Genomic DNA, 12,936 nt, shown 5'->3' on the forward strand with positions numbered 1-12,936 from the left:
GAGAACCCAGAAATAAGGCCACACACCTGCAACTATCTGATTTTCAACAAACCTGACAAAAACAAGCAATGAGGAAAGAGTTTCCTATTCAGTAAATGGTGGTGGGATAACAGGCAAGCCATTTGCAGAAAAATGAAACTGGACCCCTTCCTCATACCATATACAAAAATTAACTCAAGATGGTTTAAAAACTTAAACGTAAAACCCAAAACTATAAAAACCCTGGAAGACAATCTAGGCAATAGCATTCTGGACATAGGAAAGGGCAAAGATTTCATGATGAAGACGCCAAAAGCAGTTGCAACAAAAGCAAAAAGAGACAAGTGGGATCCAATTAAACTAAACAGCTTCTACATAGCAAAGAAAACCATCAACAGAGTGAACAGACATAAGAAAATGTTTGCAAACTATGCATCTGGCAAAGGTCTAATATGCAGCATCTATAAGGAACTTAAACAAATTTACAAGAAAAAAAACAAGCAGCCACATTAAAAAGTAAGGAAAGGCATGAACAGACACTTCTCAAAAGAAGACATACATGCGGCTAACAACCATATGAAAAAAAGCTCAACATCGTTGATCATTAGAGAAACACAAATCAAAACCACAATGAGACACCATCTCACAACCAGTCAGAATGGCTACTGTTAAAAAGTCCAAAAACAACAGATGAAGGCAAGATTGCAGAGAAAAGGGAATGCTTAAACACTGTTGGTGAGAGCATAAGTTGGTTCAACCACTATGGAAGACAGTGTTGCAATTCCTCAAAAACCTAAAATCAGAAATAGCATTTGACCCAGCAATCCCATTACTGGGTATATAATCAAAGGATTGTAAGTTTTTCTATTATAAAGACACATGCACATGTATGTCCATTGCAGCACTATATACAATAGCAAAGACTTGGAATCAACCTAAATGTCCATCAGTGATAGACTGGATAAGAAAATATGGTACATATACACCATGAAATAGTATGCAACCATTCAAAACAATGAGATTATGTTTTTAACAGGAACAGAGAAGAAGCTGGAGGCCATTATCCTTAGCAAACTAACACACGAACAGAAAACCAAATACTGCATGTCCTCAATTATGAGTGGGAGCTAAATAATGAGAATACATGGACACATAGAGGGGAATAACACACACTGGGGCCTGTCAGAGCACCCTCTGGAGGGTGGTAGGAGAGTGAGAATCAGGAAAAATAACTAATGGGGTTGGACACAGTGGCTCATGCCTGTAATCTCAGCACTTTCAGAAACTGAGGCAGGCAGATCACCTGAGGTAAGGAGTTCGAGATCAGCCTGACCAACATGGAGAAACCCCATCTCTACTAAAAATACAAAATTAGCAGGGCGTGGTGGTGCATGCCTGTAATCCCAGCTACTCAAGAGGCTGAGGCAGGAGAATCGCTTGAACGCAGGAGACCGAGGTTGTGGTGAGCCGAGATTGTGCCATTGCACTCCAGCCTGGGCAACAAGAGCGAAACTCTGTCTCAAAATAATAATAATAATAATTAAATAAAAATAACTAATGGGTACTAGGCTTAATACTGGGGTGACAACATGGGGTGTCTGTAAAACAAACCCCCATGACCCACATTTACCTATATAACAAACCTTTATGTGTACCCTTGAACTTAAAAGTTAAATTAACAAAAAGAAAATCTAGAAGAAATGGACAAATTCCTAGACACATACAACCTAACCATCACTGCAGCATGAAGAAATTCAAACATGAACAGAACAATAACATGCAACAAGAACAAAGCCATGATAAAAAAATCTCCCAGTAAAGAAAGGCCCAGGACCTGATGACTTCACCACTGAATTCTACCAAACAGTTAAAGAATAACTAATACAAATCCTACTCAAATTATTACAAAAAATAGAGGATGATGGAATACTTCCAAACTCATTCTACATGGTCAGTATTGCCCTGATACCAAAACCAGACAAAGACACATCAAAAAATGAAAACTATAGGCCAACGACTCTGATGAATATGGATGTGCATGTCCTCAACAAAATACTAACAAACTTAACTCAATAACACACTCAAAAGATCATTATGACCAAGTGGGATTTATCCCTGGGATGCAAGGATGGGTCAATATATGCAAAGCAATCAATGTGATACATTATATCAACTGAATGAAGGACAGAAACCATATGATCATTTCAATTGATGCTGAAAAAGCATTTAATAAAACTCAACATTTCTTCATGACAAAAACCTTCAAAACACTGGGGATAGAAGGAACATACCTCAATATAATAAAAGCCATATATGACAGACCCACAGCTAGTATCATACTGAATGGGGAAAAACTGAAAGCCTTTCCCCTAAGGACTGGAGCACGACACGGATGCTCACTTTCACCACTGTTATTCCACAAAGTACTGGAAGGCCTACCTAGAGCAATCAGACAAGAGAAAGAAATAAAGGGCATCTGAATTGGAAAGGAATAAGTCAAATTATCCTTGTTTGCAGATGATATGATCTTATACTTGGAAAACCCTAAAGATCCCACAAAATATATTAGAACTGATAAACAAATGCAGGAAAGTTGCAGGATACAAAATCAACAAAATAAAATCAGTAGCATTTCTATATGCCAACAGTGAACAATCTGAAAAAGAAAATTAAAAAGAAACCCTATTTATAATAGCCACAAACAAAATTAAACACTAGGAATTAACTTAACCAAAGAAGTGAAACATCTCTATAATGAAAAGTATAAAACACTGTTAAAGGAAATCAAAGAGGACACTAAAAAATGGAAAGATATTCCATGTTCATGGATTGGAAGACTCAATATTGTTAAAGTGTCCATACTACCCAAAGCAATCTACAGATTCAAAGCAATCCCTATCAAAATCGCAATGACATTCTTCACAGACATTGAAAAAACAATCCTAAAATCTAAATGGAACCAGAAAAGACCCAGAATAACCAAAGCTATCCTAAACCAGAAGAACAAAACTGGAGGAATCACATTATCTGACTTCAAATTATACGGCAGAGCTATAGCAACAAAAACAGATTGGTACTGGGATAGAAACAGACACATAGACCGATGGAAAGGAATAGAGAACCCAGAAACAAATACACTAATCTATAGTGAAATGATTTTCAACACAGGTGCCAAGAACATACATTGGGGAAAGAACAGTCGCCTCAATAAATGGTGCTGGGAAAACTGGATATCCATATGCAGAATAATGAAACTAGACCTCTCTCTCACCATATACAAAAATCAAATCAAAATTGATTAAAGACTTCAATCTCAGACCTCAAACTATGATACTATTAATACTACAAGAAAACCTTGGGAAAATCGCCAGGGCATTGGTTTGGGCAAAAATTTCTTGAATAATGCCCAATAAGCACAAGCAACCGTAGTAAAAGTGGACAAATGGGATCACATCAAGTTAAAAAGCTTCTACACTGCAAGGGAAATGATAAACAAAGTGAAGAGACAACCCACAGAATGGGACAAAATATTTGCAAACTACCCATTTCACAAGGGATTAATAACCAGAATATATAAGGAGCTCAAACAACTCCATAGGAAAAAAATCTAAAAATCCAATCAAAAAAGGGCAAAAGATTTGAATAGATATTTCTCAAAAGAAGACATACAAATGGCAAACAGACATATGAAAAGGTGCTCAACATCACTGATCATCAGAGAAGTGAAAGTCAAAAACTACAATGAGATATCATCTCACCTCAGCTAAAATGGCTTCTATCCCAGAGACAGGCAATAAGAAATGCCGGCGAGGATGTGGAGAAAAGGGACCCCCATACACAGTTGGTGGGAATGTAAATTAGTAGAACCATATGGAGAACAGTTTGGAGGCTCCTCAATAAACTAAAAATTAGGGCTTCATCATACAATCCGGCCATTCCACTTCTGGGTATATACCCCAAATAAAGAAAATCAGTGTATCCAAGAGATGTCTGTACCCTTCTTTTTCTTACAGTGCTGTTCACAATAGCCAAGACTTGGAGACAACCTAAGTGTTCATCAACAGACGAATGTATAAAGAAAACGTGGTGCATATACACAATGGAGTACTATTCAGCCACAAAAAAGAATGAGGTCCTGTCGTTTGCAACAACATGAATGGAACTGGAGATCATTATGTGACTTGAAATAAGCCAGGCACAGAAAGACAAATCTCGCATTTTTTAGATCACTCATCAGTGGGATCTAAAAAATGAAAGCCGTTGAACTCATGGAGATAGAGAGTAGAAGAGTGGTTACCAGAGGCTGCGGGGAGTGGGGTAGCGGGGAGATGGGGGGTGGGGAAGGCAGGGATGGTTAATGGGTACAAAGAAAAGTGAGAAATAATGGATAAGACTTAGTATTTGATAGCAAGACAGGGTGACTATAGTCAATAATACTTTAATTGTACATTTAAAAATAAGTAAAAGAGTATTAAGTGGATTGTTTGTAACACAGGGATACATGCTTGAGGGAATCGGTACCGTGTGATGTGATTATTACAGATTGCATGCCTGTACCAAAACATCTCACTTAACCCATAAATATATACACCTACTGTGTACCCTCAAAAATTAAAAGTAACAACTTTACTAAAAAACAAACCCAATGTCTGTATTTTGAGTCTCTTGGGACTGCCTTCCCGGCCCATGAATGTCACAGTTGAACATGGATGACTTCTGCTGTCTTCAAAAGTCGTTTCCCCTGCGATCTGCGACAGTGAACTCTCCTTATTCTCCTACCGCCTCTGTCTGCCCACTCCCTTCGCAGTGCTTCCCATTATTTGTCAGGTCAAAGCATGAAAAGAAAATGATTATGCTGGTGCAGCTCAGTGGAGTGAACTGCTGGGGACTGGGGCTCTGGGCAGCTGTGTGCAGTTGATGGGGCAGCTGAGGGTATCCATAGCTGCTGGATTGGGCTGCTTCACCTTAGCTTTGCCTTCAGGGATTTTCCCTTCTGGCTCCACACATGCTCCCTGGGTGACCTCCCTTTGTCACTTGGCTTCCACCACAGAACCCCTATCAATCACTCTGCATCTCTTCTCCCGTCTAGGGCTCCCACAGTTGCCCCTCACCAGTGGGTGCACACTCACTGTTGGACATGTGCCCCAGGATGTTTCAAGAAGCCTCTGATGCATCCTGCCCAAGCAGTGAATTCGTTGTACTGCCCCCACGTGGCCCTTTTATGCCTTCCTGGTCAGGGGCACCATCATCCACATGGTCACTCTGGAGACAAATCTGAGTGTTGCCTTCAATCCTCGGGTGGCCCCCATTCCCCACAGCCAATCAGCCTCCTGTTGCTTTTCTCTGCTGGATACTTCTCCAGGCCACCCTCCTCTTCATCCCTAACTGACAAAGCCCAAGCTCAGGCCTCATTCGTCTCAGGTTTCCTTCTTCTACTGCGACCTCTCCCATCCATGCTGCTTGGAGGCAGTGGCTGGGACCCTGTAAACACGACCTCACAATGTCATTTTATCTCATGGCTCCCTGGTCACCTACAGGACAAATCCCATGTTCCTTTCGTTGCCCTGCAGGACTCTCCAGCCTTCTATGTGGCTCTTTGGGTTTTTCATCTCAAATCTCTGCTCCAGAACGCCAAGCTATTTGCAATTCCATACACACGTTTGGTGAGTTTTAGCCTGTTTCTTTTCTCGTGCGGCCCCCACTTTGCCGGAATGCCTTTCCCTCCCACAGGCCCCCTCCCATGGCCCACTTTTATTCATTCCGTAACACACAGGTCAGCCTTGGTTGCCTTCAGGGAGCCTTCTGGAACTGGCTTTCCTCTTCATTATGGCTTCCATCTTACCTTGTGTGTCATGGAAAGGGCACTTCTACCTTAGTGTCAGTATTGGGTTTCTGCATCTCACTCAGAGACGATAAGTAGGCTGTGTGTGTGATACCCTTCCGGGTTCCCAACGTTGGCCAACTCAAGGTATGACACAGATTAGGTGCCCAGTGAGCCCCAGCGGGGTGGATGATCTGATGATGTGCTGGGCTTTGAACGAAGGGCACACTCAAGTAGGAAGTGGGGGATGAACTGAGTGTTCCTGGCGGGGTGTCAGGAGGGGTAAGGGCTCACGGTGCATGGGAGTTCCTGGTTGTACTAGTCAATGCCTTCCATCTGTATTTCAACTGCAGGCAGCTGTGTTAATGGTAAAGAATAAACCTGCAGAGGCATACCTCCATGAGCTAAACACACCCACATGACAGAACACCAGGTTAAAGCCCCTGCTGCCACCTGCTGGCAAGGTACCCTTGGCTCCTATCCTGGCAGGAGAATAACTTTTATTCCTCCTGCACAACAGACTGAGCCACACCTCTGTGCCTCTGCACATGCTGTTCCTTCTCTCTGCATGTCTTTCCCTTCACCTGACTGACTGACTTGCAGATATATCCAATTCATTTTTCCCATGCTTACTTAAATTCCAACTCCTTTAGGATGACGGCCCTGAAACCCTCCTCCACTGGCACCTCTGCAGAATCCATGACACACTCAAACACAGCACCTAGAACATTTGATGACCGACAAGGCTCTGTGTATCTGGGTGCTTCAGGATGGGGTGATGGCAGAGGGAGATGAGTGGCTGTGTCCGACTCACTTCTGAGTTGTCAGAGTCAATGAGTACAGGACTGGCCTAGTTCACATATTCATTCAACATATGAATGAATGAATGTTGCATGAGAAAACGTTCAACCATAGGTCATTTTTAGTCCAGGGCAGACAAACGAATTGTTGGTGGACTGGAGTCATCAAGGAGGAGGTGTTTCGGCAGTGTTTCAGGAACACGAGGATGCTGAGCAGTGGAGCAAGGAGGAAGAAGTCATTCTCAGGGCAGCGGCCACTATGAACAAATCCTCACACAGAGGAGAGGCAGGCTTGGGTGTTTTGGAGAAAGGTGTGATATGGTGTGGGGCAGCTGGAGGGTGGTTTGTGTGCTGGGGTTGAGAGTCCTGTGGTGGGAGAGGCAGAGTGGAACCAGATGTCTCAGGCTACCCCGCCATCCTTGTGCTCAAGCCAGGGCCCTGGGATCGGTGCTCTGTGCTTTCCCATCTGGGAGAGTGTGGGACCTCTGCTCTTTCTTCATGAATGTGGAAACTCAGAACTGAAGGACTCTCTGTTTAGGCAGATGGCTCCACTGAAGCAATAAGGATTGTTAAAAGCCGAGAGAGAGCAAGGAAGCCCAAGAGAACACAGGAGAGTATAGGAGCTGCAGAACGCGTGAGAATCCATAAGCTTAGGTGCCCAATTAGTGGCCAAGGGTTTACTTTGCAGAAGGACTGTTTTCGAGTAGGCTATGACTTGATTCAGTTAGGGATGGGTCCTTTGGGCACTTGATTCACTGGAGACAGTTCCAGGTCTCCAACCCTTTGGGGGATTTGATGTGCCTCCCAAAGTTGAAGCCGTGTGTCTTTTCACGTCAGCCTATCCTTGTTCCCTAGCCCTTGCTTATCTCTAGGGAAACTGGTGTGAACAGCTGGAGAGGCCTAATGCTCAGGCCTGTCTGACTCCAGAGCCCATCCTCTCTCCTCTTCCCCAGGCCCCCTCACCTGCACGTCTCCAATGATGTCCTCCATGACCACATCGTACTGAACCAGGAAGTCAGCCATGATGCCTGACCCAGAGATGGACGACTGGTCTTGCAATGTCGGGCAGTAGGTGATTCGGACACAGGTCTCTCCCCTCTCGATCCTGGTGGATGGGGGTGAATCCACCTCACCTGTATGGGTGGGGAGGATCGGGGCGGGGTGGTACAGAGGACTCGCAAGACAGAAGAACCAGGGAAAGGGCAGCACAAAGGGTGCTATCTGGGGAGGGTGAGAAGTCTAACTCTTCCCCAAACCTCTGGTGCCTCCTGCCTACATCTTTCCACCTGCCCCATGCTCCTCTCCCAGTCCCACAGCCAGCTCCTCTCTGCATCCTCCATTGAGCCTAGCCGGACAGACCCAACCTGGCCATCAGCTCCCAGGCCCTGGCAATGTGGCCCTCACTGGCAACCTCACCCTGCTTCATTTTCCGTGCAACCTGGGGCCAAGTCTTTGGAGGCGTGGCATGTCCGGAGGTACGCCAGCAGCCCTCGCCTCCTCCCAGAGAGGCAGTGCAGTCAGTGTGTGTCCAGGAGACAGACAGACAGACACACAGACAAGGTCTAGGTCTCCTCTCATTCCCCCACTGCTGTGGGAAACAGCAGCCTAGCAAGGTTGTCCTCTGGGTCGGATTTCATATTTCTTCTTCCCTCTCTGCCTTCTGACTCTGGGCATCATGTGTGTGAACAAGCCTTTTAGAGTCTCATGAAATCACAGATGACTCTCTAGTCCCGGATGTTTGCTGAGCTGGCCACAAGATCAACTCCTCTGGAATCCAAGACAAATGTCCATTTAGAAATGTCACTGTGCCTCCTTTTTTTCCAGAAAATGGAAACTTGGGAATTCTGCTCCCCCTCCTTCCTGCCACAGCTGTCAGGAAGCTCAGGGGCACACTGAGCCCCATACTCTCTGAGGCGCCTGCTCACATACATTCCCTTGGCTTCCTTCCTCTCAGAGCTCTTTGTTCTGTTTTCTCCCCCACAGGATTGGTCCTACCCTCTGTTTTAACCTTTAAGGAGAATGGGGGAGGGATCTGCCATTTATAGCTTAGGGCTGAAGAGTGCGGCCTGCCCGGACTCAAATGGCCTGTGGGTCCAGGTTCCAGCTGCTGCTGTGTGTCCCTGGACAAGCGACTCATTCTCTCTAAGCCTCTGGCTCCTCATCTACAGCACAGGCATGACCACAGCTCCTACTTCATAGGCAGTGCTTGTGGGAAATAAATGAGGCCATTCATGTAAAGCGTTTGGAGCCATACCTGCATCTCAGTGAGTGCCACCTAATGCTAATGAGTAGAATGATCGTGCAATCTTCTCTGCACCACGTAGTTGGGAGGGAGGAATTCTCTCAAAGTCTCACAGTGGTCCTGAGCTGTAGATGGCATCTCGTCCATTTTACAGATGGGAAAAGTGAAGTCGAGCAATGGAGTGACTGGCTTTGATCGTCCCACATTAGGGGAGTGTCAGCACTGGGATTTGGATCCAGTCTGTGTGTCTGTCTGTGTCTGTTACATCCACTGTCCACCCCAGTGCCTCTCTGGGTCAACAGAGTCGAATGAGTTGGGACCTCCAATGCTAAACAGCTTTGGAGGGGCTGCCACATGAGCCAGGGATTTCTCTGCACCTGTCCTCTCATCTCTCAGATGAGGTGAGCAGGCCAGCTCCGTGATTCTCCAACCTGGCTGGATGTCAATGTCCCCTGAGACTGGTTGATGACACAGCTTCCTGGGCCCCACCCCCATGCTACTGAACCAGACCCTGAAGGCTGGGCTCCAGGAATCTGCATTTCTAGGAGCCCATGTTGTGATTCTGATGTAGCCAGTCTGGGCTTCCAAAACCTCTAGGTGACATTTGAAGCAAACTTCTGAGGCAGGATGCTTCTCTTCCCTCCAGGGCCTGAGATGGTGTCCTCCAGGGAGCCTGCACTTGCTGTGCACTCACTCTCCTGCCATTCTCAGTGGGGATCCAGGGAAAAGCGTGATTTGGCCAGTGTGGCTTCTACAGCCTTCAACATGGTTAACATATGATTTAATTTCATTAGCCCACCCAACAAACCCTCCCTTATCACTGATTTTTTTTTTTTTAGGGAAATCAAGAGTCTGGGAAGTTTCTAATGTGCCAGGTCATATAGCCTGTAAGGACCAGGCCAAGGTTAAAATCCAAATATTTTCACCTTCAAACATGCCCTCTTCTCACTGAATCAGGAAGGAACTTGGCAGTGAGTACAGAGCAGAAGTGGCACTAGAGGGAAACCCAGTGGAATCGATAAGGTTTTCATTCAGTGAAGGCCAGTCTGATGGGTGACCCATAGTGCTGCCCACATACTTGCATGGGCATTGGTGCGCAGACGGCCGGTCCTCAGGGGTGGTATGTGCACATAGGAGATGCCTGTCCTTTCTGACACTGTAACCTCTATGCTCAGCCTCTTCACCAATTGGCCAGGCCTCAGGCTCACCACCAGCTGGTACTGGCCCTGGTGCCGCTGAAGCAGTTCCTCATAGGCCAGGGAAAAAGTCACCTCTGTGCCTGCTGCCAGGCTGGTGGAGATGCGGAACTTCTCTGATTCCCGGTCCCTGGGCAGGAAAGGGAGGATGGTGGGAAGAGAAAGGGACCTTCAGAGGAGTACAGGGGCTGTTAGATGACCTAGTTTTGCTCCCCCCAACCCTGGTCCCAGCCGACCTGACTAGGCTTCTGGTTCAACTGAGTCACTGGCTCATGGTCCGTCATCCATGCATCCACTTATCAGTCTCTCTCTCCCTCCCTCCCTCATTCAGCCTCCTAAATATTCTGCTTGAGAAATTATCTCACAGGTGGTCCACCCTTAAGGGAACTTAGTCCATCAAAATCTGAATATATAACAGACCAACTAGGGTCTAATGATTCATTTTACAAAAGAGTTTTCAATTTACATACAATGCCTCAGCCCCTTCAAATAGACCCTCCTACTATCCTCTCCCCTATGCTTTTGAAGGAGCTTGTTTATATGGCAGTAACTCAGTTTGCTGGAGCCAAAGCTAAAGTGTTTGCTCCATGAAACTCTCTTGGAAGCTGGGAGGAAACACTGAAGGAAGACAATACATTTCTGCCCGCTGAATGGAACTCAGGAAACAAAATTCAATTTAGAAAAATCTCACTTGCATATAACCTTCCTGGAAGGTGCCAATTCTTAAATAAGCCACAATCTGCTGACAGTAGAAAAGTAGAAATGGGGAAGTAAATTTCCATTTATTGAACACCCACCCTGTTACAGGCTTTGATATTCATTAACTCACATCATCTTCACATGATCCTGTGAAGTAGAGGTCATGTCCCCACTCTGCAGAGATGGAGACTGAGGACCAGAGAGAACGTGCATCTCCCCTGATCACACAGCTAAGATGATTAAGTCATGTTTTGGACTGGATGGGGCCTTACCTGATGCCTACATGAGCAGCTGTCTTTCCCTGCTGATGGGCTTCTTCATAGATTTTCTTTGCCTGGTGCTTCTCTTTGACTTCTGCAATGTAGACTTTATTGTTGATGGTCCTAATGGGGCAGGAAAGAGGAGGGACAGTAGAGACAGAGAAAATAAAGAGTTGGTCAGAGACAGAGAAAGAGACACATGAGGTAGAAAGAGGAGGGTAGAGATAGGGAAAGAGAAAGAACAACACAGTGCCATAAAGCCCCAGTGTGAGCGGCAAGAAGAGAAGAAGAGGAAAGGAGAGGGAGATAACAGAGTGAAGTAGTTATCATTATCTCCATTTGTCAGATGGGGAAATAGAGGCCACACAGCATATGGTGGATCTGGTTGTTAGAGTCTTGTGTTTCCCAAAGTGTTGAATGAATTCTACCTTTTGGCACACAGCATAATTTTAGGTACGATATAACCGAATATTTTTATTATAATTGTTATGTATTTACAGTAATGTTTCTTAAATTACAACTAGCACATTAAACCCATGATCTCATAGATATTGTTGCTCAGAATAAAACTAACTCAGATCATCTCAGAAAGTATATCTATTGAAAAAATATATTGGGTAAATAATATGGCCATATTAATATAAAAATATATTAAGTAAATACTGTGGGTGGTAAAAGTGGTAAAAATTGTGAAAGAAGTGTGCAAATTGTTGCAAAGTCTTCTGGGCCTGACTAGGGAGGAGGCCTTGTCCTCAGGGAGCTCAGAGACTGATGAGTTACAAGCAGACTTGCTTACCCCCATTCTCCCCATTTCTCTAAGGAAGGTAATAAAGTGAAAAGAAGCTCAAAGAAGGGAGAGAACACTTTTGCCCAAGTCTTCAGGAAAGGGTCCTAGAGAAGGTAGTCTTGAAGCTAAGCCTGAAAGACAGGGAGGATATGGATAAATAATCCTCACTGGCCATGCCTTCTCAGTTTCCTCTGTTGGCTCTTTCTCTTCCTAACCTCTAAATCTTTGGAACACTCCAAGGCTCTGTTGTCAACCTTTTATCCTCTCCCCTCCCTCCCTCTCCCCTTCTGTCCTCTATTCTTTCTACATTGGCTCTCTAGGTGATGTCATTTAGCACCATGGCCTTAAATACCATTTATATACAGATGCCTCCCAAATATGTATCTCCAGTGTGGACTTGTGCCCTGAACTTCAGACCCATCCAATTTCTTTTTTTTTAAATTTTATTATTATTATACTTTAAGTTTTAGGGTACATGTGCACAATGTGCAGGTTAGTTACATATGGTGGCACATATACATCATGGAATACTATGCAGCCATAAAAATGATGAGTTCATGTCCTTTGTAGGGACATGGATGAAATTGGAAATCATCATTCTCAGTAAACTGTCACAGGAACAAAAAACCAATTTCTTACTTGACATCTCCACTAGGATGTTCCATAGACACCTCAAGCTGAACAGATCCAAAACTGAGCTCCTGACAACTCTCCCCTCCCAAATCTGCTCCTCCTCTGGTATCTTTGTTTCAGGACATAGTTGCTCAGCTAAAAATCTTAGAGTCATGTTGGATTCTCCTCTTTGTTTCACAATCCACATCCAATCCATCAGGGATTTTCAGCTCCATCTTTAGAAGACATCCACAATCTGACTGACTTCTTACCACTTTATTTGCTGCTGTACCCCTGGTGTCTGGAATATGGCTTGGCACAGAGGAGGTGCTCAACAATTATTTGTGGAGTGGACATCCTGGACAGACAGCAGGAAAACACAGAATGTGTTTCAGGGGACAGCAAGTAGTTAAATTTGACTGGAGTGGAGGGGCAGGGAAGGGAGGTATGGAGAGAAAGTTGGGGTGGTTGAGTGGGCCTAGAGAATAGGGGGCTTTGAACACAAGACTCAATGAGCTCATACAGCAGCAAAGACTTTTT

The 12,936-nt window shown here is 44.8% G+C and overlaps 1 protein-coding gene across 1 annotated transcript in view; it reads right to left on the reverse strand.

The window, feature by feature from the left end:
- The window catches only part of ITIH6 (inter-alpha-trypsin inhibitor heavy chain family member 6), a 49,338-nt gene that overhangs the window by 31,999 nt on the left and 4,403 nt on the right, over positions 1-12,936 (reverse strand). The window contains exons 3-5 of the mRNA NM_198510.3: positions 11,010-11,120; positions 9,921-10,168; positions 7,564-7,733 (exon numbers count right to left, since the gene is read on the reverse strand). Coding sequence (NP_940912.1) covers positions 7,564-7,733; positions 9,921-10,168; positions 11,010-11,120 — 529 coding nt within the window. The remainder of the gene's footprint in view (positions 1-7,563; positions 7,734-9,920; positions 10,169-11,009; positions 11,121-12,936) is intronic.

Source organism: Homo sapiens, chromosome X, assembly GCF_000001405.40.
Source record: "Homo sapiens chromosome X, GRCh38.p14 Primary Assembly".
Taxonomy (NCBI): Eukaryota; Metazoa; Chordata; class Mammalia; order Primates; family Hominidae; genus Homo; species Homo sapiens.